Genomic DNA, 27,660 nt, shown 5'->3' on the forward strand with positions numbered 1-27,660 from the left:
GCCTTGTAGCTGCCAATCTGACATGTCTACCATCCAGTAGTTTGTGTTTCTGTGTCCTGGAGGCATGAGTAATTTAAAAACTCATTGGAGATTTATAATCTAGTTCAGACAGGTTTTGCTAATATTCCTTACAGAATATACCCATTTATTAATATGTCACAAGGTCTCTTTAAGCTATATTTTTTCTCATCAATTTAATCTGACAAACCTTCAGTTTTATAATTTTGTATTATCCCTAAATCTGATTATGTCACAGATGTATAATGAACAAAGAGTGATTATACAATTTGCTGCTGTCCTATTGCATTTGAGAATCTGTCCATAATACATTCTTCTTAAAATCTTTTCTTAGTATCAGAGTGATGCCTTTCAGTTTTAGAAGCGGACAGTATTTCTGAATAACTTTTCCCTTTTTTTAATTGAAAAGTTCCTTTCATTACAGATGAGTTTTGTTTTTAATTACATGAGTGCTATAAAAACTTTGTTTCCTTCCCAGCAGTTATGATGTTATGAGTGGGGCTGTAGCACCTCCCTCAATAAGGTGAGGTGGCCTTTCAGATGGTGACATATTGACATATTAGGGATGAAGCTGTGCATGGGAATTTCTCCTTCTTTTACAAGGAAGTGTCTACTCTTCATTGCTACAATTCAATTATTCTGTCTCTCTCAAGACAATGGTCAATCTATAGGGTTTGTAACTATGACCCACATTGAAAAATGCTAAAGGTATAAAAAATAGTTTTGATCCTTTGATCATCATGATCAAAGAGTTTTTAGACATATTTAAAGAAGAATTTTACAAAGTGCTTTATGTATTCAAAATAAAATTTTGCTAAAGACTTCATCTTCATTGTTACTGAAAAATATATTACTTTTTAATGAAAAGAATGATCTTGATTTAAATAGTGAGATCCTTTAATTTTATTTTACTTTTCTATGAGAACTAGAGAAGAAAAAAGTTGATGTTCAGGAAGCTAGGAGCCTTTAGCACTTAAAAAAATTACTGAAAGAAGAAAAAATGAAAAACATTGTAATATAGGTCTAAAATGTTGTTTTATTGAGATACTCTGCTACTTGTCAGCATGATTTTTATTATAAAATGAGACACACATGGAGTGTAGATAGAAATGAAAAACATTTCAAGCTTTGCCTTTTCTTTTATTGCTAACATACATAAAATATGTCAGTGGAACATTTAGCACTAAGCTTGGCATAGTAAGTGGCTGATATTAGTTTCATTCTCCACACCAAGTGTTTTTTCTTTCTTTTTTTTTTTAAAAAAAAAACTTACATCCCAAAGTTTCTTTTATAAAAAAAATTTCAATGCAGTATGGTCAATATTTTGACTTTTGCACAGAGACTGATGGCCTGGCTCTGCCCCATAGAGTGGAGGAACCCCCGGGGAGGTTGTATTACCTCGAAGGGGTGGGCGAGCCAGGGCTGCTGAACCTGTTCGTGCTAGACCCCAGGTCCCCTGTCCGGCTCTGTGAAGGGCTCTCCAGGGGTGGCAGAAGGGTGCTGGGAGAGCTATGCTCGGGAGAGAAGATGAATGGACTTGGGGAGTCCTGGAAGTTGGTGCACCAGGTCCTGGATGCCTTAAATAAAACTTCTCGAGACAAAGTAGAAGCACACCTCATTTTACTGCACTTCAGTTGATTTCACTTTGCAGATAATGTGTTTTTTACAAACTGAGGGTATGTGGCAACCGGCATTAAGCTCATCAATTGACATCATTTTTCCAGCAGCATGTGTTCACTTTCTACCTCTGTCACATTTTGGTAATTCTCATAATATTTCAAATGGTTCTATTTTTATTGTATCTGCTATGGGGCTCTGTGATCGGTATCTTTATGTTACTATTGACCTTGTTTTGGGGCACCATGAACTGTGCCCATATGAGACTGTAAACTTAATAGATAAATACATGTTTTCTGACTGCCCCACTGACTGGCCATTCCCCCGTCTCTCTCTCTCTCTCTCTGCTTAGGCCTCACTATTTCATGAGACACAATAATATTGATATTAGGCCCGTTAATGACCCTACGATGGCCTCTAAATGTTCAAATGAAAGAAAAGTTGTACCTTTCTCACTTTAAAACAAAAGCTAGAAAGAATTAAGCTTTGTGATGAAGGCATGTCAAAAGAAGAGATAGACAAAAAGCAAGGCATCTTGCACCAAGCAGTTAGCCAAGCTGTGAATGCAAAGAAGTTCTAAAAGGAAATTAAAAATGTTACTCCAGTGAACACATGCATGACAAAAAAGCAAAACAGCCTTATTGCTGATATGGAGAAAGTGTGAGCATTCTAGACAGAACATAAAACCAACCACATTTCCTTAAACCAAAACTGAATCTAGAGCAAAGTCCTAACTCTTTTCAATTCTATGAAAGCTGAGAGAGATTAGGAAGGTACAGAAGAAAAGTTTGGAGCTAGCACAGGTTGGTTCATGAGGTTTCAGGAAATAAGCCAACTCTATAACATGACGTGTAAGGTGAAGCAGCAAGTGCTGATGGAGAAGCTGCAGCAACTTGTGCAGAAGATCCAGCTAAGATCACTGATGAAGGTGGCTACACTAAATAATACATTTTCAATGTAGATTAAGCAACATTCTTTTGGAAGCAGACGTCATCGAGGACTTTTACAGCTAGACAGAAGTCCAATGCCTGACTTCAAAGATTCAAATAACACGCTAGCTCATTTAGTAGGAGTTAATGCAGCTTGTGACCGTAAATTGAAGCCAGTGCTCATTTTCCATTCCAAAAGTCTTAGGGCCCTTAAGAATTGTACTGAACCTAATCTGCCTTGTGCGTTATAAATGCCTGGGTGACAGCACATCTGTCCACAGCATGGTTTACTAGACACTTTAAGCCCACTGTTGAGACCTACTGCTCAGGAAGAAAAAAAAAGAAAGATTCTTTTAAAAATATTAGTGGTCCTTAACAGTACCACTGGTGACCCAAGAGGTCTGATGGAGATGTGCAAGAAGATTAATACTGTTTCATGTCTGCAAACACAACACCCATTCTGCAGCCCATGGATCAAAGAGTAATGTTGACTTTTAAGTTTTACTACTTAAGAAATACTTGTGATATGGTTAAAACTGCCACAGATAATGATTCCTCTGATGGGTCTGGGCAAAGTAAATTGAAAACATCTGGAAAAAATTCACTACTGATTGTTACCATTTTTAGCAATAAAATATTTTTAGTTAACTATGTACATTTTTTAGACATCATGCCAATGCACAGTTAATAGACTATAGTATAGTGTAAGCCTAACTTTTACATGCACTGGGAAACCCAAATACCTGTGTAAAACTTGCTTTATTTAATATTTACTTTACTGCAGGGGTCTGGAACCAAGCCCGCAAGACCTCCAAGCTGTGTCTGTGTTGTCAAACACAGCACCAGAGGCTCAGCTTTCTCCTGCCCCTGAAGGGAAGGGAAGCCAGGGCTATCAGCCTTCTCGGGGGATGCTGCTGTGTCTCCATGAACAGCAGCTCCACTGGATAAATGCAAACACCCATCATTCGGAAATGGACTTGCTTGCCCTGTCTTAAATATTTCATTAATCCATTTTCAGGTTTGCTGTTGCTAACTAAATCTTTTATTTCTATGTGTAACATTCTACCACAAGAATAAGGTATCATACATATTTGCAAAAAGGGAGAAAAGGTAAAATATGAATAGAAAGTTTTATGTTTCTTAGCTAAAAAAAGAAGCATTTAAATTTTACACAAAGAAGTCCAGGTATGGTGGCTCACACCTGTAATCCCAGCACTTTGGGAGTCTGAGGTGGGCAGATCACTTGAGGTCAGTTCAAGACCAGCCTGGCCAACATGGTGAAACTCCGTCTCTATTAAAAAAATAGAAAAATTAGCTGGGCATGATGGCACATGCCTGTAATCTCAGCTACTCAGGAGGCTGAGGCAGGAGAATCACTTGAACCCAGGAGGAGGAGATTGCAGTGAGCTGAGATCATGCCGCTGCACTCCATCCTGGGCGACAGAGTGAGACTCTGTCTCAAAAATGAAAAATAAGAAATAAATAAATAATAAAAATAAACAAATACATTTTACACAAAGAACCACCATATCTAAAGCAAACTATAAGTAATACATGAATTATTACAAATAAGGAAACCTGGCATAGCATATCTTATATTGATGGTGAAGAAAATTGTGTGTCAAAATTGGATTAGCAAGTGTGTAATACAATTTTATTTTTTTGAAGGAATTTTTTTTTTAAATTTCTGTTTTTGACTGCAATACAGTTGACCCTTGAACAACGTGGGGGTTAGGGTGTTACCCTTGAGCTCTTGAAAACCCACTGACAAATTTTGTCTCTTCAGAAATGTAACTACTGCTGTTGCTGGCATAGCTGCAGTTATAGCCTCTCCAATATCTTTTTCTTTTTTTACAATGATCTTTAGGCTGATTCATTTATCTTAAAACAATGGGAAACCCCAGCTGCAGACCTCAATCTACAGTGCATATGAAGAAATTTGACTGATTTTGTAATGTCATGAATTTTCTCTGCTTCTTGGGAGCCTTCCAACATCACCAGTGGCCCTTCGTGTGGGTTTCATGGTGCTATTCAATGTTTACCATATCGCACTAAACACGGAAATTATGCAAGAACTGCGAGATCACTTTTTACTACAGTACACAACTAACTAGAGACACAAACTGCCCACGTGGCAATGATCAGAATTGCAGGGCTTTATGCGGAAGCTCACAACACGTGGGCTCACCACAATAGCAGTGGGAGGTGCCTGTGAAATTATCATGGTAGTGCAGTATGTGCCACAGTTACTTTTATGCGGTTATGACTTAATACTGCATTTTTACATTGGCTTCTATTTCCTTGTCTGTAAATGGTGCCATGTACAAACTATAAGAGTTTGTGACCACATGCTTTGATAAATGTTAACCTCATTTAATAGATTTGCATATATTTATAGTAGTAAATGATAAAATAGAATAGTATCTACATATATTCTATGTATTCATGCCATACTTGCTTCTTAATGTTTTAATATTTCTAGGCTACATGTTGGTCTACAATATTTTTCAAACTGTTATAAATTTCCAAAAACATTTCCAATATAGTTAGTGAAAAAATTATTGTCTAAGTGGACCCATGAAGCTCAAACCCATGTTGTCCAAGTGTCAGCAGCACTGTGGTCAGTGAGGTTATAGTTATTTCCTTTTGTAGTTCTGTGGCCATATAAATTTGACATCATGCTAGACGTTCAGGTCTGTTTATCCATAAACTTCTGTGCATGGGCTCTCCTCCCAGCTCAAGTGGATTGGTGAATTAGTGGAGTCAGTGCAACAGTTGGGATTCAGGCAGGTCAATGATTGTTTCAGGGAATCCAATACATCTTCTTCTCTTCATCCAAATAAATAAATGTTATTGTTGCCACATTCCTAGTTCTCAAATGCACCTGGCCAGGTGCTGCCCATTCTTAAATGCTGGGCTGTTTCGCAGACGGCTGCCCTCTTCACCTTCCCGGGGGTTCTACCTCAGTCAGAGAGCACTGGGCTCAAACTGTCCTCGCATTATGATCTGGACATCGGTAGTCTTTGACCTAAAGAAACACAAAATGTGTTCAGGGGACAAGTTTCATTTACAGAGACTTATCAAATAAGCCATAGTTTAGAAAACTCTCTCTGCTTTCTTCTCTCTTGGACTTTACAGTTCTATTAAAAGTGGCTTAGCTTACCAGGCTTTGAGGTTTACATGAATCAATGCTTCTCCATTGGAAAAATGAATCTCAAAACCTTTCTAGTTGGACAAAATCTTCCAACCATTTTTTGACCAGAAAGATGAGAATTTGAGAAGCCAAGTCACTACTCTTGTCACTTGCCAGAGCAGCGTCCCCAGAAATTTCCACTGGCACTCTGGCAAAACACCTTCACTCACAATGAATGGGGACTTAGGTGTTAGTTTGATTGCTTTTGACGGTCTTGATTCTTCCAGGTTGGCACAGAGAACCTGTAACATAACTCCAGAGCAGCTGTTTTCCCTTTTCCTGACAGTATGTCACGTCAAAAATTCTACCAGGCATCACTACTGATCAGGCATAAAAGCACTCTGAATAATAATAACGTTTTATGTGGTTCTTATTGCAAGAGGTAGAATGTTTTTGGGGGTGAGTAGAATTTACATTTGAATTTAAATTTCTGTTCATTTGAATTTAAATTTCTGTACGTTTGTGTGTTGTGAGTGTGTAGGTTTTTTGTTTTTAACACCAAGTATATGTTACTTAATAAGGCAAAATCAGTAAACGTACTCAATTTTGAAAAAAAAAACTATAATTAAATGTGTTAACCGATATTTAATTTATGTGGATAAAATGGTGAGCAAAAGCAAACTTTAGAATTACAGTTAAGACTGAGACAGAAAGCTAACTCTTCATTGACCCTTCCTTAAGAGAAAGATTCTCTCTCTCAGGACTTTAATCTGACATGGTTCCGAAAATAAAGATGTGTTGTTTTTTGAAATTAGAGATTGAAAGATGGTTATTTTAACAAACTGATTGGACCTTTTTCTAAAAAAAAAATTATTTCCATAGGTTTTGGAGAACATGGGCTATTTGGTTACATGGGTAAGTTCTTTAGTGGTGATTTGTGAGATTCGGGTTCCTCCCTTCACCCAAGCAGTATACACTGAACCTGATTTGTAGTCCTTTTGCCATTACCCTCTTCCCACCTTTTCACCCAAGTCCCCAAAGTCCATTGTATCATTCTTATGCCTTTGTATCCTCATAGGTTAGCTCCCACTTATGAGTGAGAACATGTGATGTTTGGTTTTCCATTACTGAGTTACTTCACTTAGAATAATAGTCTCCAATCCCATCCAGGTTGCTGTGAATGCCATTAATTCATTTCTTTTTCATGGCTGAGTAGTATTCCGTCGTATATGTCTACCACAGTTTCTTCATCCACTCATTGATTGATGGCATTTGGGCTGGTTCCATATTTTTGCAATTGTGAATTGTGCTGCTATAAACATGCATGTGCAGATGTCCTTTTCATATAATAACTTCTTTTCCTCTGGGTAGATACACAGTAGTGGGATTGCTGGCAGACTTCATTACCAAGAACCCAAAAGCAAATGCAACAAAAACAAAGATAAATAGGTGGGACTTAATTAAACTAAAGAGCTTTTGCACAGCAAAAGCAATAGTCAGCAGAGTAAATGGACCACCCTCAGAGCGGGAGAAAATCATCACAATCTATAAATCTAACAAAGACTAATATCCAGAATCTACAAGGAACTCAAACAAGTCAGCAAGAAAAGAACAAACAAGTCAGCAAGAAAACAAACAATCCCATCAAAAAGTGGGCTAAGGACATGAATAGACAATTCTCAAAAGAAGATATACAATATACAAATGGCCAACAAACATATGGGAAAATGCTCTACATCAGTAATGATCAGAGAAATGCAAATCAAAACCACCATGAGATACCGCCTCACTCCTGCAAGAATGGCCTTAATGAAAAAATCAAAAAATAATAGATATTGGTGTAGATCCAGTTAAAAGGGAACACTTCTACACTGCTGGTGGGAATGTTTCTAGTATAACCACTATGGAAAACAGAGTGGAGATTCCTTAAAGATTGTAACTATATTTTTTTAAATTCAGAAAAGAAATGGTTGTGTCTCAGTTTTTACTGTTACTGCTTTTGTTGCTCCTAGACCCATTTCGCATTCCCTTTGTTATTAGGGTCCACAGCAGTGTTCCCAGTATTAATGTTACCTGGAAACCTCAGCCTAGTGCAAACCCTGAGAGCCCGTAACAGTGCAGACTGGCAGAGCCTCCCACAGTCATTTGGCTCAGAGCCTTACTCAGCACCGTGCCATGCAGGTGTGCAAGACATGCCCTCTTATGGGTCTTGGGACAGAATTTACAATCAAACAGAGATATATTTCCATTCTCATGGCCAGCACCAAGCATATACCAGGGTTATTCTAGCATTCTAAGAATGTAGGGTCCCTTTTTTCCTTTCCGTGAAGACATTGGGGAACAGTTGTCTCACCAGCCAAGGGTGACCTCAGAAACAGTCTTTACACCAAGCTTTGCTTCAGGGTCTTGCCTTCCTTGTCCCTAGCAGCAGCACTGCCCGTGTGTGCATGGTCACATACTGGTGTGCCCACTGTGCCCGGGGGCTGTGGACTGGGCTGCCTGTGTGCCCAGCCTGTCAATGGACATCTGGCTATGAGGAAGTGCGTGGCTAAGTTAGTGCAGGGAGTACAAGAGAACTTCAGTGAGGAGACAGCTTAGCGCTCCCAACCAGGCATTGGGTGCTTTTGTTTTGTTTTGTTTGTTCTGACTTTTCGATTTTGCTACCTAGTAGAGGTAAACATTCTATGGATGATGTAATGACCAATCCTTCATTCATGGTTTTTTCACATCCAGAAGTGTGGATTATTTTCTATGAACCCTCTCTTTCAGATGAAGATGTCTACCCAGTGAGTCTCAGGGATTTGCCCAGGAAGAAACAGGGAGACAGCAATTGCATGAGGTCCTGCACAGGCCATCCTGACCACAATACTCTGCCTTTCCACGATACCCTCCCTCCATTCCCCAGGAAGGCGGCCAGAGAGAGCTAGTGCTGGTTTAAGACGGGCTTCGGTGATATGAAGGCTAATGTTCTGTCGGCTCACACCTGTGTGCTTTCTGTTGCTTTCAGCCAATCTTTGTGGATTATTCATTGCCTGTACCATCATGGTTGCTAAACAGTTTGGATATTAGTCTTGGATCTTTTGCCTAACTTTAAAGTTGACAGTCAAAACATGATGGAAATTAGTTGAGAATTAAGATGACACATATACTGTGATTTGTTTGTCAGGATTGAGAGAAAGAGTAGGATGTTGTTAGGATAATGATGCATGGTATGTAAGGGAGGTGTCACAGAGTTTGATGTAGAAAATCATGCGTCATATCTGTATTTTTACCTGTTCTGCAAAAATCAATTTTATATTGTTGTTATAAATAAATGTACATTGTATTTTTTTAACCCTCTTCAGGATTAACCCTCCCATTAGTTGTCTATATTCTTTGCCTGCTGTAAAATAGGAGATATGCATTTTCCTTTCATCCCCGTGCAAGCTGGCTAGGAAATGAATCCCCACGGTAGAAACTCATCGCCCTACAAGTTAATAGAAAAATGCTGTTATTGCTGGTGTAAATTAGGTTGCATACTTTATTGGTTACAAGTATTTCTTGCAGGCAATTTTACATCATAAATGCCAAATTAACTGCTGTTGATTATGTTACTGATCATTCTTGCTATTTTATAACAAGAATAGTTACTCATATAAAAATCCCCATATACCAGATATAAAAATAGAAAAACTTGAAACATCAAGAACTTGGGTGGAAGGTGGGAGAGCTGGGCAAACAAAAGCCTGTTTAATTCCGAATTATCTGCAGTGTAATTTAGCTTGAGAATTGGTTTGGCCTTAAGTAGAATAACAGAATCTATTGATGATATTTTTGTTGTGCTTATACCTTTCTGTGTTCCTTGTGTTCTAATGCAGAAAAAAAATTGTCAGGGTCCTTAAGAGTCTATGACTTGTATTTTTGCAGAAAATATTATTTTAGTCAGGGGCATTTTAAAATGCTTTTGTACGAATGTTCAATTTTGCAATTTTATGGTATGTAAATGGATAAATATTGGTAGTAAAACATTTGAATCTACATGATCTTTAATTTGAAGTGTGTTATTTGAAACTTATTGCAAATGTATTTGGAAAATGATTATTGAGGCCTGCAAAAGCCCATTAAAAAGTGCCTGTCTGTGCTATATATTCAGCCTTTCCCAAAGTCAGACCATGCCTCTTGTTTTATCCAGTGACATATGATATAAATTTCTCTTTAGATATTGTAACTACCACCTGTAGACTCAAACGTGGGTTATGATGAAAAATAAAATTTGTCATTTAACACATTTGTCGGGAATTTATCTTTTAGTTGATTAAACTGTTAACTAAAGTGTCAGAATTATTTATTGCAATATCTACCTCTAAAAAGTGTGTGCTTGTGTATCAATTAATAAATGGTTCACAATAAATGAGTTTATAAAAATGGTGACAGTGTATTTGGTTAAGACTTCAAAGGGTTTTAAGCAGTAGAAAACTGCATGTTAGAATCAACAATTTGTGATTGTTCTTATCTACAATTTGTCTTATTATCTGGGTTTACTTTTTTCTTAAAATTTACTGATTCATTCTTCAGCTTTCACATTAAATTATTTGAATTAATTTTATGTATATGCTTACAAACTTTTGGGTGATATTTTAAAAATATCCCATCAATAGATAATTCATCCCTGTCATGTGGATTAACCTCCAGGCATCTCTGTAACAAGAGTCAAGGATTTCTACTGCACATGGTTTAGAGTCTTCGGTTACTCACTTGTTTTTTAGTTCCCTGGGGTGGCTCTACTTGTTTCCTGGGGCTACATGTGTTTCAAGCAGTCAGCCAAAAAAGAAAAAAAATCAAAGTTTGAGTGTCATCTGTAACGATATATCTATGAACATGGGTATGGAGAAGAGCACCACCATTTTTGTTGTTGCTTCCAGAGTCAACAGAAAACCTCACCATCACTTTATCACACTAATTCGGCAATCGAAAACTCTTCCTCAGCATGTGAAATTGTTGCATCAGCTAAGTCATTTTGCGGCTAAATTAAAAGCAGACTGTAGATAGACTCTTCCATGTTGACAATTTCAAAAAGAATTCATATCTTTACATTTTAATAGTCTGAGTTTTTAACATTATGACTGAACGTAACAGCAGGAGAGCCAATAAGGTATGATGGCATGGAGGAGGAATTCAGGAGTCGGCCCTGGGAAGCACAGATGGATTGAAGTCAGGCTGATCCACACTGAAACAACAATCATCCAGCACTTGCCTTAGGAATAACAGGAAATTATTATGATGCAGAAAAGTATTATTCCTAAAGATGATGCCTTTACAATAGCTAATCTGTTAAAGGATATTGCAGATGGTGTCATTTGCCTAAACTTCACAAATAGAAATACATTTCAACCTATTTTTAGAGAGTAATTCATTGTATTATTATAATGCTAAAATTTAACTGGCATTGAAATGGAGCTAAGCTACTGAATAAAATGTGAGATTCTACAAGACACACACACACACCCTACAAACACACACATGCACACATATGTCTTCTTGAAGTAAGAGTTTAAAGGTCAAAACACGCTTTCAAAATTCTGAGGTCAAACATATTTCTGGAGTCAAAACATACTTTTAAAACTGTGCTATGATATTGAAACAAATTGTTTCACAGGCGTCAAAGCAGGAACAACCATTCTGATATTCGAACAATAAGTTTATGGCAGCCAAAACTTTGGAGCAGAAAGACCAAATTATTGGATTTCACTTACTCTTTGCCCTCAAAAAGCCACAAGCATGAAAAAAAAGCAATGGAAATGTCTCCTGGTGCTATGAAAAGGGAGGCGTCTTGCTCATTTTAGGGCATTAAAAAAAAATCTTTCCACCGTTTTTATTTTTCTATTTTCCTGCATCTTCGACATCATCAAAGCATGTTCTCTGTTTCTGTCATTTTGAGACAAGCACTAACTGTACTGTCTTCTGTAGTCTGGCAGAGATAATGTATCTGGGTTTCCTTAGTGATATTTTAAACACATTTTTTTTCTGTCCTCCCATACAGAGCGCATACTTTTGGTGGAATTCCTGTTGTGTGGGAGACCAGCTTAGTTCCATTCACACACTCACACTCCCAGATGTGGCCCCATGGGTTTATTCCTGTCTCGCTGTTTCAACAGTCAGACGTTTGTTCTTCAGGCTGCTTGCTCCAGTATCCTCGTCAGACAACCGCAGGGAGCCTTTGTGCATTTATTTATTTATTTGCTTGGTATGCTTCAGTGTTTTGGGGGCTTTTCTTCCCACTGAGTAAGTTAAAACTCTGCAAAAGTTTGCCTCCAGAAAAAGGGAGCCAAACTGCCCCTTGATTACTTGAATTGTGTAAATGAGGGATGGCAGGTGTTGGGGCAGGGAAGGTGGCAGAGAAAGAAGTGGAAATCATTTGGAATCCAGGATTATCACTTATTGTGCCCCTGTATTGAAAAATTACAAAATGAAACTGAAAGGTTGGGCAACAGAAAGAGGATTATGTTTATTTTCACTACCACTAAACTTTGCCACTACAGGTTGGTTTAATTAACCCGTGAGATGAAGTGCTGAACTCTCTGAAAAGATAAATGCTTTCAGAGGTGCCTCAGACACGAGAAACACAATAATATTTATATTTCTTTTTGACTGAGGAAGGTCACTGTGGTGACAGTTTCAGGAGGACACCTGTATTATTCTCTTTTGTCAACAGGACTTGTAATATGAACAAAACATGCAGTCACTTCCCACCAGGATGTGTCCTTCTGGACATCAGCATACGTGCAAGATGACAATTTCAGGCAAGAATTTTTTCCTCTAATCTATGATTTAATCAGTTGGGTGTCTGGGAGTGGGTTAGAGAACATTTCTGAAGTTAAAGCTTGAATGTTTTTCATGTGGCTGGAGGTGAGGGCAGGCGTCCAGGAGACTCAGGCAGCAGCTGCATAGCTCAGTGCCTAAGTGATCTCTGCTCTTAGGAGGATCAATTGAAAGCTTAGGGGAAATAGGGCTCCCAGGAAGATGGGTGCTTAAAAATGAATACTGTAAATGTTACTCAGCATACAATTGAGGGAAAGCCATCACTCACAGGAAGTGAGCACAATTCTTTATTATCTGGGCCCTGTCACTAATGAAACATTCAGTGTAGAAGAAATCAGTCCCCTTTGAGTTTAGGCTTGTCATGATGGCTCTGGGTTTCCTTCATTCACAGCAATCACACTTAAAATGTTTACAGTCTGAAGACCTGAAAAACATGTCCACACCCTTGAATTCGTTGTAGTTACACATGAGGTCAATGTTATCCATCTTCATTTATCAAATAAAGAAATTGAAAATATAGTCTGTCAGAAAATAATTCCAATTCAGATCTTCAAGAGTTCACGTTTTATTGTCCTATTGTACTAGAGCTATTTTTGTAAAACATACATCTTTAAGCTTTCAGACAGAATCGTGAAAACGTAAACTTATCACACACAACAGCATAATATGCAATGCAGTGCAGTCTAGGATATACGCATTAGTGTCAATTTTTAATTAAAAAATGCTGAATTTTGTTTAAAAAGTTTTTTTTTTTCCTGGATCTGGAAAAGGAAATGCTTTTCTGGAGTAAAACACAGAGGATAAGGTAGAATTCTTACCTGAAGTGCCTGTAGGAGATTCCAACGTGAATGCATTTCACACGCTTTTACAAGCTACTTTCTTCTCCTTTCTTTTTTCAATCATCTTAGCAGTCATTGTTTATTTTCTGGAGATGAGTAGTTTTTATTTATACTAGAAAGCCCATAGTTTTTACATAGGTTGCCTTTCATTCTTGGTAAGACACTGAGAAAAGGAGAAAAAGAAAACTTTAGAGATAGAGCAATGGTATAATTGATTGAATGTTACGTGAACTGTCAAGATCAGAACTTTCTCATACTATCTTAGGAATAAAAATATGTTCTGGTTAGTAATCCTCACCAAGTTTGGAAGGTTAGAGGTGACTCAGCCTCCATGAATGTGGTCTGGTCTTATTTTAAGAAGGGCTTCTGAGTCATGTGGAGTTGTGTCAAACTATGTGTTATGTTATGTTATTTTAAAAAGACAGCTTGGAGAGAGGAAATTGAACTATCTTTTTTTTTTTCCAAAAAACTCTGCCCTTTAATAGAAGAAAAGGGCAAGTTATTTCCCACAAATCTCACTCTATGTAATGTAGCCTAGAATGTATTTTTACCACAGATATATTCTTAAAGTAGTTTGGCATGACCTTACTTAGAGTATTTTAAGTTTGTGACTTGAATTGTTTTTGCTTAATATTTATCCTTAGATGTGGTTGAATGCACTGTTCATAACTGAATAAATTTACTATCGATCCATTATTATCGTGATTGTTCACCTATTCAAATTGATAGCTACACAGATACATGTACTATTTTTATCAATATTCAAAATGCATAATGTTAAGTGAACTTCAATTTTCTCAACTCAGAAAAGTAGCAATAGAATAAATCTTGCCTATCTCCCTGAGTTGCAATAACATGTAATAAAATCCTTGGAAAAGTACATCAGATAATGACGGGTTCATGATGGCTCACGTTGACTGGTAATGCCATGGCTTACAATTGAGTATGAAGTCTGCACTGCGGCTCAGCTGAGGGAAAGGCACATCCAGGTGGGTGAGCAGGTCTGCTACAGGAACTCACTCTTGCATTCTAACTTCCCTGAGCCTTTGGGTATGTTTCTCGATGTTATACCAAGAACGTTCTGACATTTTAACCTCAAGTCGTATAGGTCACCTCTGGTTCCATGATTCAGCCAACCGATTGAGAAAATTATTAGTGCCATTATTAGACCCTCAAGCTAAGACACTGAATCAATAAATCCGCTTCAAAACATATACCATGATACAATTGTATATTATTTCCATCTTAATCCCACACTCTTAAGATACATTGTCATTCTTATTTCCCAGGGTTTGTTGATATTAATTGGCAGATCATGCAACTCTTTGGATGTGTATCATATCCCATCACAGGTTTGAGACTTGAGTCAACTCTAGGTCTAAAAGGAAGAAAAAGGAGTGGGAGTAGAACTTAATGAAGATTAGTAGGGCTCTCAATGCAGTACTAATGGGCGGTGGTGGGCATTAGAGATTCTTCAAGAAAAGGGAGACTAACTTCCTCAGGCACGGCTGCAGACTGCTTCTACTGGCCAAGAAGGCAAGGAAAGCTGTCAGAATTAAGGGCTCTAGGTTTCCAGATTAACTAGAATTTGCTCATATATTCCCTTCCCAAACCTCAGAATCCCACTCCTTCCCAGTAAATGTCCTAAATTTAATAAAAGAGACTCTATGAGGTTTGGAATTCAATTTTGGCTATAATTCAGCCACCCACAGGATGAAACTTTGGGTTTCCTGTTCAAAAACCTTGGCTCTCTGGCTACAGGAGATAGGATTTCTTTCAGGACCAATCTAGAAGCTTTCAGGACCCTTATATAGAACTTGATCTTGGTACTTAAAGCCCTGAATTTCTCCAGTGTAGTTAGAACTAGCCAACCAACACAATTATATTCATCATTTTCATTAAAATGGTCAAACTCAATAAATTCTTGGTTACTCAGATGGGCACTTAATAAAAGATGTGTAAAGGTGATAATTTGAGTCTTTCTTTCTTTCTTTCTTTCTTTCTTTCTTTCTTTCTTTCTTTCTTTCTTTCTTTCTTCCTTTTCTTTCCTTCTTTCTTTCCCCTCTCTCTTTCTCTCTGTCTCTCTATCTCTCTTTCTTTCTTTTTTTTTCTGACCTCTCCATCTGATGCTAGGAACTACTTACCCCTCTTTTACCACTGTGAATAGGGTACTTAGTGCTTTTAAATCTAATCAGATCAGAAAAACAATTCCAAACACACACACACACGCATACACACACACACACACACACAGAAACAACTCAAAAACTGTACCCTTAAGATCCCATTCCTCTGAAACCACCCTTAGTACCAAATTCTGTGTAAGTCAGGTTTAAACCAGAAATATAGCAACTCTACAGATTTGTCTTCAGGTATTTGACCTTACACAACATTGGGAGCTGGTTAAACCATCTCTGCAGAGTTGCCTTTGTGTCTAATGCTGGATCTTGAAGTCCATAGACTGGACACCTGAGAAGAAAACATGGGTATAGGGTGGAGGAGGAATGGTGAGCTGGGCCCCAGAAGCACAGGTTGAAGCCCAAATGACAGACTGAGCTCATGTCAGTTCTCATCACCTCCACCTTTGCTTATGTGGGTGCAGAGGACGGGACTCTGTGTCATGGAGCTAAACACACACACATCTAGCCCAGGAATCAAAGAAGCTTCAAAAAGAGGAAGATGCAAGTTCGGCTGGTGCCTCCCATCAATATCTGCAGATAAGTGACAATGTATGTAAGATTTTTTTTTTTAAAGGCAATCTGGACAATACAGTAAAACCTCATCTCTACAAAAATTTAAAAATTAGCTGAGCTTGGTGATGCATGCCTGTGGTCCCAGTTACTCAGGAGGCTGAGGTGGGAGGATCACTTGAGCCCAAGAGGCAGAGGCTGCAGTGAATTGAGATTGCACTGCTGCAATCCAGCCAAGGCAACAGAGCAAGACCCTATATTAACTTGTTTTTTTAGAGGAAAGGCTGCTCCTCCATTTCCCCAGGCTAAATCTTCCACAACAGTGGCTACAAACATTAAGAAACATAGGAAAGATTGTCCTTGAGAATGTAGTTCGTTTGAGCCTAGATGCTACCTTACAAAGTTATCACATCACTTTGCTTTCATTTTCCATTTTCTTTTGCAACTTTTTATCTTTCTCTGCCTTCCAAACTTTCCTACTGCAATGCAGAGTATATTCTTGTTTTTCTTCACGTTTATTTTTAGGATGCAGCTATAGGGAACGTTGATTAAATGTCTGAGGACTTTCTTCTAAGGTTTTCTAATTGCTTCAGCAAAACTGCTTAATGGCTATTTTTAAGTCCTCTAGAGGCATTCTTAAAAACCAGCACACTGCTATCAAATTCCACTTGCTCTTCCACGAAGGTTTTCAGAATATTTCTTTATCTTATCATCACCATCCTCAACAACATCATTGTTAAGTAAAACATGGCACACGTGGCCATGAGCTACACATCTAAGTTTCTCTACTGACCTTCTGTGATGAATACGATTTCATTGTCAAATAAGTAATTTAGGGATCCTTGTCTGTTTCCTGTTCTAATCTCAGGGGTACTCACTACATGATGAGTAACACAAGAGGATGAGATGAATCACTGCACCAACGTAGTTTAATTTTTAGTTTAATTTTTGTGGTCAGTGCTTTACTGGCTTGGGATTGGGAGAGCAAAGAAATAATGAAATTTGAGGTTAGAGAAGCTCTGGCTTCCCATTGAAGGTATGAGAGGAAAAGAAACCTAAGAAAGAAAGAAGCTGGGCAAACATGGCTCCATGTACCCTGGGTTTTCTCTTACACTGGTCCTGCTTTGAGGATGAACACACACAAGGGTAAGGCATGGGAGAGGGCATGGAGCAACTGTCTAAGTTATGATCGAATAAAAATGCAGCATTGCTTATTCAGGATCGACAAGTAAATACAGTGGGATCAGGATTACTTCTCGCTGCCAGCATTTTGATGAAGAAAGGTATTCAAAAATCTGCTTCTATGGAGGTACAATTTCACACAGACTTACATTGCCAACTTTCACTTGACGGAAACTTTGTAGACACAATGCAGAACCTCTTCTCCGGAAGCAGATTATGTCAGCAGGACTTTAGTGTGTTGATTTAGGGAAAGGCAAAAGGTGATGGTGTTGTAATTAAAAAAAAAGGGGGGGCCCACACAGAAAGTCCCAAACTAATTGTTTAGAAGATGATTTTGTGGGGTGGCATGAAAAAAGTTTGGATGAAACATTTTAACTTTTTAACGTTCAGCAGCTTCGTATCCTACGATGAAAATCTCTCTCCCTTACACTCATCAGCTCACTCTTACCTGGACCATCCTCATTAATCAATGCGCCCACATCTTCCCCATTTAGTGAGGCTCCCAAATTCTGCACATCAAGTTCAAAGAGCACATCACATACAAAGAACAGAAGCTTATTTATTAATTTAAAGCTGATTCAAACTTCCCCTTAATACCCAATCCAGAAAGTTAAGACTGATTCTAAATGTTAAAGTGTGTTCAGGAAACATGGTCTTGTTCATCAACTCAGATTTCCTCCAGGTTCCTGAGCAAGGGGGAATTGCCTGGGCCCCGTGCATAACTCCTTCTCCTGGTTCACGCTTCTTGTGTGTCCCTGAAGATGTTCCTTGTCATTCTGGTTGCTAGACGCCCTAGTGACACTTGATTCCAGTTCTCTGAGTGGTGAGTTCAGTGTATTCTCATGACTTGGTGATTTAGCTGGACTCTATCTATCTAATATCAGGCCTTGAGGTCAGTACGTACACCCTGGCATCTGGATCTGACCCCATTCAGTCCTCAGCCAGTGCAGCTCTCCCTGCAGACTTCGGCTGGTTTGTTGAAGCACCTCCAGAAAAGCTCCTTGGCTCTGTACTCAGAACCCTCCTAATCCTTTGGGCAAAGGAAAACAACTGCATTGCTATCATATTGCAGACACCCTAAGGATGCCTCAGGAAAGATCACCCCAGGCTCTCCCCGCCTCACCAAGCTGCATGCTCACAGATACTGCATTATAGGTAATGACAGCAGCATCATAAGTGGGTAAGTGGGCACCCTGTTCATCAGTCTTCTCTCTCATCCCAGAGAGACAGCCTTTCCTCCTAGCTGCTGCTCAAAATCCTTCCCCTTCTGAAAGAGGGTCGGAGAATGTGTGCCCCAACATTGCCCCCTTCTGTCTCCATCTCTCGTGCTTCCACCTTTCTGTCCAGGTGTTACCCTATTTCTTATCTCCTCCCGTCCTCTGTTGGCTTCTGCTCTCCCTCTTTCCTAGAGCTGTGGTGATTGAACAGCGCCAGAGAACATGTTTCATTGAGAATATATAGGAAAATATATTAGTTTAATATTTTTAAAACCTATCTCTATTAGGTCATTTGAAAAAACAACAGGCAAACAAAATCCCTCCCTACTTATAGACCCATCTTTCCCCTGTCCCAGGGAAGTGTCTCAAGAATATAGACTATATTTTGCCGCTGTCTTCTCACCAACTTTTCACGTCTTAATCCCTCAGCCTGACCGCCACCCCCTTAACTCCACTGATATATTCCTGACCACCAATGATTCCCAGGCCAGCAAATCTAATGACAACTTCCATGCATCTTCCTTAACTATGAAAGAGCATTTGTACTACTGATCTCTCCTTTGTGAAACACTTATGTTTTCGGTTTCAAGTAGACGACCTGCACTGATTTTTGTCTGACATCAGTGACTTAGCCTTCTCAGTCTTTTTTATTTTTATTTTTTTTCAGTGTCACCTCTAAACATAGAACAATCTGTGTTGGAGTTACTTAAGTGCAGGTCATCTTCATATTCACTCTAGACTCTTCCTATTCACTCCCACAATTCCCATTGTCAGCTCAACATCAATGAAACACTAAAATAACAAAGGAGCGCTACAGCTCTTCTGAAATTGGAAAACCCATATCCTACTGCACACCTACAATCTCCCCGTGATGCCACTGGGTCATTCCCATCTCAGTTACCATACCTTGGCCCAACCTGCCATCATCTGTTGCCCCAGATACTGAGAAAGCTATTAGCTGTTATCTTTGCACCCATTCCAAGAGTCCTCTAGGAACTTCTCCATGCTGTAGCCAGAAGGGTTTTTCAAGATAAAAATGTTTTTTACATGACCCTCTCCACTATTTTAAAATCCTTCTGTTTTTATCTCCCCCTTTCCTTTTTTTCTTTTTCTTGAGACAGCCTCATTCTGTCACCCAGGCTGGAATGCAGTGGCACAGTCTCAGCTCAATGCAATCTCCACCTCCCAGGTTCAAGCGGCTCTCCTGCCTCAGCCTCCTGAGTAGCTGGGATTACAGGTGCCCAAAACCATGCCTGGATAATTTTTGTATTTTTAGGAGAGACAGGGTTTCACCATGTTGGCCAGGCTGGTCTCAAACAACTGACCTCAAGTAATCCCAAAGTGCTGGGATTATAGGCATGAGTCACTGTGCCTGACCTCTCCCTTGCCTCTTAAAAAGCAAAAGCCTACTCATGACCTCTCCGTGGGCTACCTCTTGTCTCATGTGGCTGTGTCCCTCTGCTGTCCCTTTGCTTTTTGTGTTTCAGAGACATTGGGTCCTACAATGTGCCAATTTTTATCCTGCCAGGGACTTTCGTACATAAGATCTCAGTCTTACTCCCACTGCCACATCCCTCAGAGTCCCTTTTTCTCTGGCTAACTGCTACTCATCCTTCAAACCTGAGCTCAAATATCATATCCTCAGGGTAGATACTCATCGCCATTTGGTCTCACTCAGTCTTTTGTCTTCCTTGGCCTGTGTTGCTCTACTTCCCTGCAGTATCTACACCTCGGTCTTAAAATATCTGTGTAGCATGTGTCAACATGTCCTCCCTCTTGGAGGCCAAGAAATATTCCATTGTATGTAGACACCACATTGTGTTTATTCATTTACCAAAGAACATTTGGGTTGCTTCCACTTCTTGGCTATTGTGAATAATGTTGCTATGAATATGGGTGTACAAATATCTCTTCAATATTCTGTTTTCACTTCTTTCAAGTATATATGCCCATAAATGGAATTGCTGAATGATGTAATAATTCCATTTTTAACTCTTGAGGAACCACCATAGTTTCTCATAGTGGCTACGTCATTATTTTATGTTCCTACCAACAGTATGCAAGGTTTCCAACGGCTTTACACCTGGCCAACTCATGTTACTTTCTGTTTTATTTTCTGTTCTTGTTTTTAATAGTAGTCATCCTAATGCATATAAGGCAATATCTCACTGTGGTGTTAATTTGCATTTCCATAGTGATTAGTGATGTTGAACAATTTTCATGAGTTTATTGGCTTATTTTATGCCTTATTTAGGGAGATATCTATTCAAGTCTTTTACCTACTTTCAATTGGGTTATGCAAGTTTTCTGTTGTTCTTCCTTTGTCATATTTTGTAAGTCCTAAAATTAAAAATTAATTTAATGTGCATTGTCCCTGCTCAGCAATAAATTACTTTTGCAGTTTTTAGATACCATTGCTGATAAATGTCTTCTATCTAAAAGTACATAAAAGAATGTCATATTTGTAAATAGCTCTTTCATCATGATTCTTTTATTTTAGCTCAAAAAGTTAAACCATTGTTTTTCTTTGGTCTATGGTGGGGGTACAGGGATAGTGGAGTAGTTTTCTATTCTATTGCAGATACACAAATCCCAGATAATTATTTTTCGACAGTTTTGGAAGTAACATTTTCTTAGAATGTTTTCCGTACTTCTACCTATGGTAGAGATGCAAAAGGAAGGGCTTATAATGGATTGATGGGAGCTAGCAAATAGGCTTGAGAGTATCAAAGAGGTGAGCTTGGTGGAGGAGACACTCATTTCTCTGCACACATCAGTTCCTCATTCTTCCTGGTCAGAGGTGTCCAGGAAGACTGTAATTCCCAGCTCCCACATAACCATGGGATCCAGTTCTCATCAGGAGACTATGAGCACCCATGATATGCTCAACTTGAATCTAAAAGACCTCTTTCCTTCCTGCTAGATGTAAGTTGCAAAGATTGGAGCATCTCAGGATAATGTGTTTTGAGGATGGTGAGCTGCTCAGGTCACCTGGTTCTGGATTTGATACCTTGTGGATGGACCTGCCTATCCACCCTAGACTACCACTGGACAGAGAAGGAAACTTCTATGTGGTATTGCAATGAACCATTGCATTTGAGGTCAATTTGTTAGAGTAGTTTATTTTCTACTCATATGTGCTTGTTTGTTTCTTGTTTTACACTTGCTTGAGTCACTTCTTTGCAGATCGAAATGCCATTTATTTGTAGAACTGAGTAAGGCTCACAGGGCAAGGGTACAAAACAAAACAACACAGCAAATCTTAGGGTAGGCATTCTCCATGCCTAAAGAATTTATGCGATATTTTTTTCTAAAAAGTCAAAAGAATTTGTACAGGAAACACATAAGTGATAAAGTGTATAATAAGTGCCTATTTGAATAGTATTGGCAATTAGGGTTCTGGAACCCTAACAGGAAGCCTACTTAGGATCTTCTAGAAAGTCAGAGCCAACTTGAGAAGGGAAAAATCAAAGCTGGAGTGGAGGCTTCCAGGAGGAGAGAACTTGAGTCCAATCTGAAGGGCTGTGAAGCATCTGAGGGAAGAGGGACTCACCTGCACCTGAGCCAGGAGGGGGTCATTCTCACCACCATCCTCATTGCACATGATCCTCCCTTCTGTGTTTCCCCTAGGACAGGGGTGAATCTTCCAGGCTAATACATCAGGCATGCCAGTCCTGTAGTTACATGTGAGACCACAGAGTAGCAATTCCTTTATGATGTGGGGCTTGCATGTGCCTCTGCGTAGCACAATCTTCCTTGCTGTTATCTTGCCAGGGTTTTCTTGTGCCCACGGGGATCCTTGCATGGCCCTGGGTCTAGGTTATGTGCTTTCCACACAGAAGCACCCTGCACTCCCAGCCATAGACCTTGTAGCATAAGATTTCAGTTTCCAGTTAGCTGAGTGTATCTTCTATGGAACTGTCAGACTTATGTAGGCTTTCTCATGCCTTTTAGCCAAAGAATCATTCCCAATGCTTAGGATAATTTCTGGAATAAAGTAGTCTCAATGAAAATATTTCAGATAAATTAATACATATATATGAACGTTTTGGATGAGCTCAAAATTGGGACGGAACTGCACTGAAACCTATCCTATGGCGGATGATACTAAGTATCTTTTCAGAAAGGTGGACATTTTAAAAATTATAAGTTGTTCTATTAGCAATATGTGGTCACATGGGAGTTTGTTAAATTTTTTAGTCTTTTTTGGGAGCTTAAAATATGAAATGAGTTCACAGAGGTGGAATGGTTTCAAGCAATAGAAGACCAAGATTCAACAGCTTCTTATTTCCCCTCTGAGAACGAATCATTGATCTCTAGTGGAACTATCAGAGTCCTGGATAAAAATAAAAATGTGAATTTTTAAAATAGGGCTCACTTTTAGAAATACTCTTCCAAAATGAATCATGCAGTTTGGCCTTTTCATATGAACTATTCTGATGCAATTTTCCCCATAAAGATACATTTTGTATCAGAAGCAGCCTCTCTGTTGTGGGATTTAGTACCTTGGGAGGCTCTGTTGGTGAAATTGCTTGCTAAAACTCAGCCTCACCTGCTCTGTGTTGAATGGATGCATAGACAGCTCTCAGCCCTCATTTTCTTTGAAAATGGAGAGATAATTTACTGAACTATGAATCCAGTGGATTATTTCTTTGGGCACCGCATAGCAGCTACTAGTTAAAAAGTTGAAAAGTAGGTAAGCGTTATTGTCCTGTCCAACACCAGTCCCTGTAACATTAGGGGCATCTCCTATACCAGTCGTTCTCATTGTGGGGTGATTTTTGTGACCCTTCATTCCTCACCAGGGAACATCTGGCAATGTCTGTAGACTTTTTTTGATGGTCTCAACTGGGACATTGCTGCTGGTATCTAGTGGGTCAGGGCCAGGTATGCTGCTAAGCATCCTACAGTGAAGAGGGCGGCCCTCCACGACAAGGAACGATAAGACCTAAAAGTATTAATAGTCACCTGGGGGCCAGATGCAGTGGCTCACGCCTATAATCCCAGCACTTCGGTTTGGGAGGCCGAGGCAGGTGGATGACCTGAGGTCAGGAATTCGAGACCAGCCTGGCCAACATGATGAAACCCTGTCTCTACTAAAAATACAAAAATTAGCTGGGCGTGGTGGTGCAAGCCTGTAATCCCAGCTACTCGGGAGGCTTAGGAAGGAGAATCACTTGAACCTGCGAGGGGGAGGTTGCGGTGAGCCGAGATCGCACCATCGCACTCCACCAGCGTGTGCGACAGGAGCAAGACTCCATGTCAAAAAGAAAAAAAAAAAAAAGAAACAAAACAAAACAAAACAAAACAAAAAACCAGTAGTCACCTGGGAGGTGGAGATACCCTGTTCTGAACCCTGATAAGTTTCTTTCAAGTGGAAGAATCTTGTCGGAACCTGTCTTCCACTTGGTTTTTGCCCATGTCCCTTCAGTAAAGACCCTCCCAACTCTGGTGCCATCCCACACATGACGCGAGAGCCTGTGGCCCCAGTTCAGTGGAAGGGCAGGTCCTGGTGACCCATTTTTGTCCCTTCTTGGGTTCGAGGATCCCCAGGGTGGCTAACCCACCCATGTGCAGCTGAGAGAGGCTCGTGTTTCGGGCGGGAATAGGATACTGAGAGAAGCTCTTCCTAGATGTGCATCCTGTAGACTAGTGATCACGTTTCATCTTCCTCAGCCCAGGGATCTGCAGCAGTGGTTACAGAGGGAAAACATTTGTCTGAAACTGGATCTGGGGCTGTGGTCTAGAGTGGCTCACTCCAGTGGTACCTTCTGAAGGTGGTGCTGGAAGCTTGAATTCTCTTCTGTCAGTAGCTACGGAAAATCAAAGAAGGAAATATCAAGTGGTCTGTGTTTTCAGGGCCACTGACTCTGTGACTCCCGCTGTCTGGTCTTCATGAAGCCAGGCGGTCAAATGGGACACACAGAAACTCGAATCAGTGAGTCCTTCCTCCTGGCCTGAGGTCCCAGCTTGATCCCACAACAGGGAAAATTCTGGAGCTTAGTAATGACTTCATTGTCAGCCTCTGCTCACCCTTGGAAGGAGATCAAAATTAAGTCACTCAAATTTTCATTTCTTTTGTTTGAGTAACTGTAAAATGGAAAACGATTTTTTAAAACTGAACTTGTGGTGATTTTTTTTTAACTTAGCTTAAAGTGTTTAAAGCTAGTGGTTGAATGTTTAAGCAATGATGGCAAGTTCTAATCTTATAAGTGATGACACAACAAAGTAACATGAGAAGGGCCTCCTCTTCCCACTCTCCAGGATGAGCATGACGTAAGATCTACACAAAGGAAGACATAAACCAGGTTAGGAATGTACAATCATATCTTAAAACATGCATCCAAATTATAACTTGTAAGCATCCATTTTTTCCTGAGTTATTAGCTTTTATTTATTAGAGCAGGTTTAGATTTAGAGAAAACTGGAATGGAAAGTACTCAGGTTCCCAGACGCTTCCTCTCTCCTGCTCCAGCCTCCACTATAATGGACTCCTTCCATTAATGTGGTGTATTTGTTACAATGGATGAGCCAATATTATCGATGATATGTCATTATTAACTAAAGTCGATAGTTGATGCTGGGGTCCACTTTGTGTTGCACATTCTATGGATTTTGATAAATGCATCCTCTGTTGCAGCATCACACAGTGTTGATTCCTTGCCCTGATAATATCCAGTGCTCCACCTGTTCAACCTTCCCTCTCTCTCTCCACATCCAATCAACCACTGAACATGTTGTCTCTGTGTTTTGCCTTCCATTTTCTTTTCACTTACAACCAGATCTGGTGAATTCTGTTTTCATGAGTGATGACTCTTTTACCCCTTTCTCTCGCCCTTCCACTTCTCTTTTGCTACTGTCTCACCTCATGGTCTTGGAGCCTGGCTTGAGAAGAGACTAGAGGCTGCTCTCGTTGCCTCCACCTTTTAGTCTAGTTGCATATATGGTGATCATTTGGAAACACAATGCCATCATATCTCTTTCCTACCCAGTGATTGTCATTATCCCTCTTGCTCCAGCAATAAGCTAAGACTTCACAGTGACAGAGGACGCGCATGAGCTCACGTTTCTGCAAAGTGCTTTCTTCTTGTCTCCTCCCTCTTAGGGCCTGTATCCTCAATCCCCTCCCCTTTCTCCCAACAGTCCATATTTCCTTCATGCATGCACATTAAAATCCCTCACATGAATGCATTTTCTTTTCTACAGGGTGAATGCTTCCTGCTCGTTGGCTTTGCTGCTGGCTGGTATATGAGTAGCACTGGCTGATGTAACAAACGTACACCAACGTTCCAGTGGCTTCCTACAAGAGTTCTATTCTTCCTCATGAAAAATTTCAGACTACATTCCTGGTTGTCAGGAAGCTCCCCTCCACATGATGACTCAGGGACTCATTTTGTTCCTCATGGCTCTGCCCTGTCTTGTGCATGTTGTTGGTGAAGTTGATAAAGGAACTTAGAAAGCCATTTTCTGTGGAGGCATAATCCAAGTGATGCCTATCATACCAGCTCCTATTCCCTTGGTAGGAATTTACTCACACAACCACCTCTATTTTAGAGGGAAGCAGGGAGACTTAGTGTAACTGTATGCCCAGAAAAGAAAGGTCAACTGAGGATTTCAAGTATCTACCAGTCTTAAGTGAATATAGAGAATTCTAGGTGGAGAAAACTAAAGAAAACAGAGACAGAGGAACAAAGTAAGTGAAGGTTGCAGAGTACGGAATGAAGGAGCTGGAAGTGGCAACGACATTCTACACTAGAGGAGAGGATGGGGTAGTTTCTCAATGCATGGAAAATCTATTCTCTCGGAAGACCTGGTGGTGCTGGAGGCTTGAATTCTCTTCTGTCAGTAGCTACAGAAAATCAAAGAAGGAAATATCAAACTGTGTTTTCAGGGCCACTGACTCTGTGACTTCCGCTGTCTGGCCTTCATGAAGCCAGGCGGTCAAATGGGACACACAGAAACTCGAATCAGTGAGTCCTTCCTCCTGGCCTGAGGCCCCAGCTTGATCCCACAACAGGGAAAATTCTGGAGGTTTCTGTGTTGACCTGGGTGGTAGTTATGCAGCGGTGTTCCCTTTGTGACAATTCATCAAACCATTCACATAATGTGTTGCCTTTTCTGTAGGTATTTTTTTCTTCAATGAATAGTTTAATAAACACAAAAAAGAAAATATGGTCATCTTATCTTTGGACAGTCTCTCAAATGTTTTATAATTAATTAAATTCTTTAACTTATGTATTTAGTTGGCCTGTTTTTTCTTTGAATATGCATCCAGATATCCCAGGTCACAGGAATTTCCACTTATACTTAGGTTACAAAACCATGCTGATGCACACATTTGAATTTTGTTGATCTACTTTTTCTGGTTCCCTTTCCCTAGAGTGTTCTCTTTTTTTTTCTCTGTAGCTGAAGTCAACCTATTAATTTTAAAGTATTTGATTAAACAGAATCTTCTTTATGAAGCCCGTCCTGGGCCTTCTATGTGGAATTGGCCATTCTATTGTTCATGTTCCTATGGTACAAAGCACATCTTTCATCTGATCCTACAGCATTTTAGTGAACTTCTTTGACTCCAATTACTAGATAATAAGCTCATTTGATGCTAGAGGTTATGCTTAATCATCTTTTTATCCCAAGTCCCCAGAAAACATAGTAAATGCCTAATAATTTGTTGAAGGAATGTGCAAGTGAATGGAAATGTATGCAACTTGTAACTGCGTAATGCAATTTTCAATCATGACTTAATATTTGTCATAGTTTACAGTAAAAACACATTATTTTAAATGGAGAGTCTAATATCATTTAAATATTCCACAGAAATAAAGACAGTTTTAGGTCTCTGGTTAAATTTTTTAGTAAATTAGGGATGAAATAACAGATTTCAAAGACTCACTTTTTAAGTAGTATTTTTCTGTCACTCGATGTCTATTTTCCTTCTTTCTACTTTTAAAATGGCAGCTGCACTTTTAAATTTATATTATTTCCATCATAAATAACAAATGAGTAAGTTCTTACTCATTTTCTTGCATCTCCTGAATAAGAGTTATTAAGTTAAACACAAATATCAAATTATAAAAACCTACAACCAACTAATTATGTTTTTTTTTCCTTTTGTTTTAAAGAAAGTACTCAAATTCAACTTTAATTTGTGGCATTAATTTATTATAGTGGTGTGGCTGAGGTAATGTAAACAGGAGAACTTTTCTGCCTTTCTTTCCTTATTTTTCCAATTCTCGT

At 39.4% G+C, this 27,660-nt stretch overlaps 2 long non-coding RNA genes across 2 annotated transcripts in view; one reads left to right on the top strand and one right to left on the bottom strand.

The window, feature by feature from the left end:
* LINC00702 (long intergenic non-protein coding RNA 702) overlaps nt 1-13,722 on the bottom strand; it is a 37,037-nt gene extending 23,315 nt beyond the window's left edge. Inside the window, exons 1-2 of the long non-coding RNA NR_108040.1 lie at nt 13,633-13,722; nt 13,314-13,497 (exon numbers count right to left, since the gene is read on the bottom strand). This is a non-coding gene — a long non-coding RNA (long intergenic non-protein coding RNA 702). The remainder of the gene's footprint in view (nt 1-13,313; nt 13,498-13,632) is intronic.
* A 3,133-nt stretch (nt 13,723-16,855) lies between these two features.
* On the top strand, nt 16,856-26,661 carry LOC105376369 (uncharacterized). The gene is made up of 2 exons (XR_930588.2): nt 16,856-17,170; nt 25,630-26,661. It is a non-coding gene; the product is annotated as an uncharacterized LOC105376369 (long non-coding RNA).
* The last annotated feature ends 999 nt before the right edge of the window (nt 26,662-27,660 follow it).

The sequence above is a fragment of the Homo sapiens genome, chromosome 10 (genome assembly GCF_000001405.40).
Source record: "Homo sapiens chromosome 10, GRCh38.p14 Primary Assembly".
Taxonomy (NCBI): domain Eukaryota; kingdom Metazoa; phylum Chordata; class Mammalia; order Primates; family Hominidae; genus Homo; species Homo sapiens.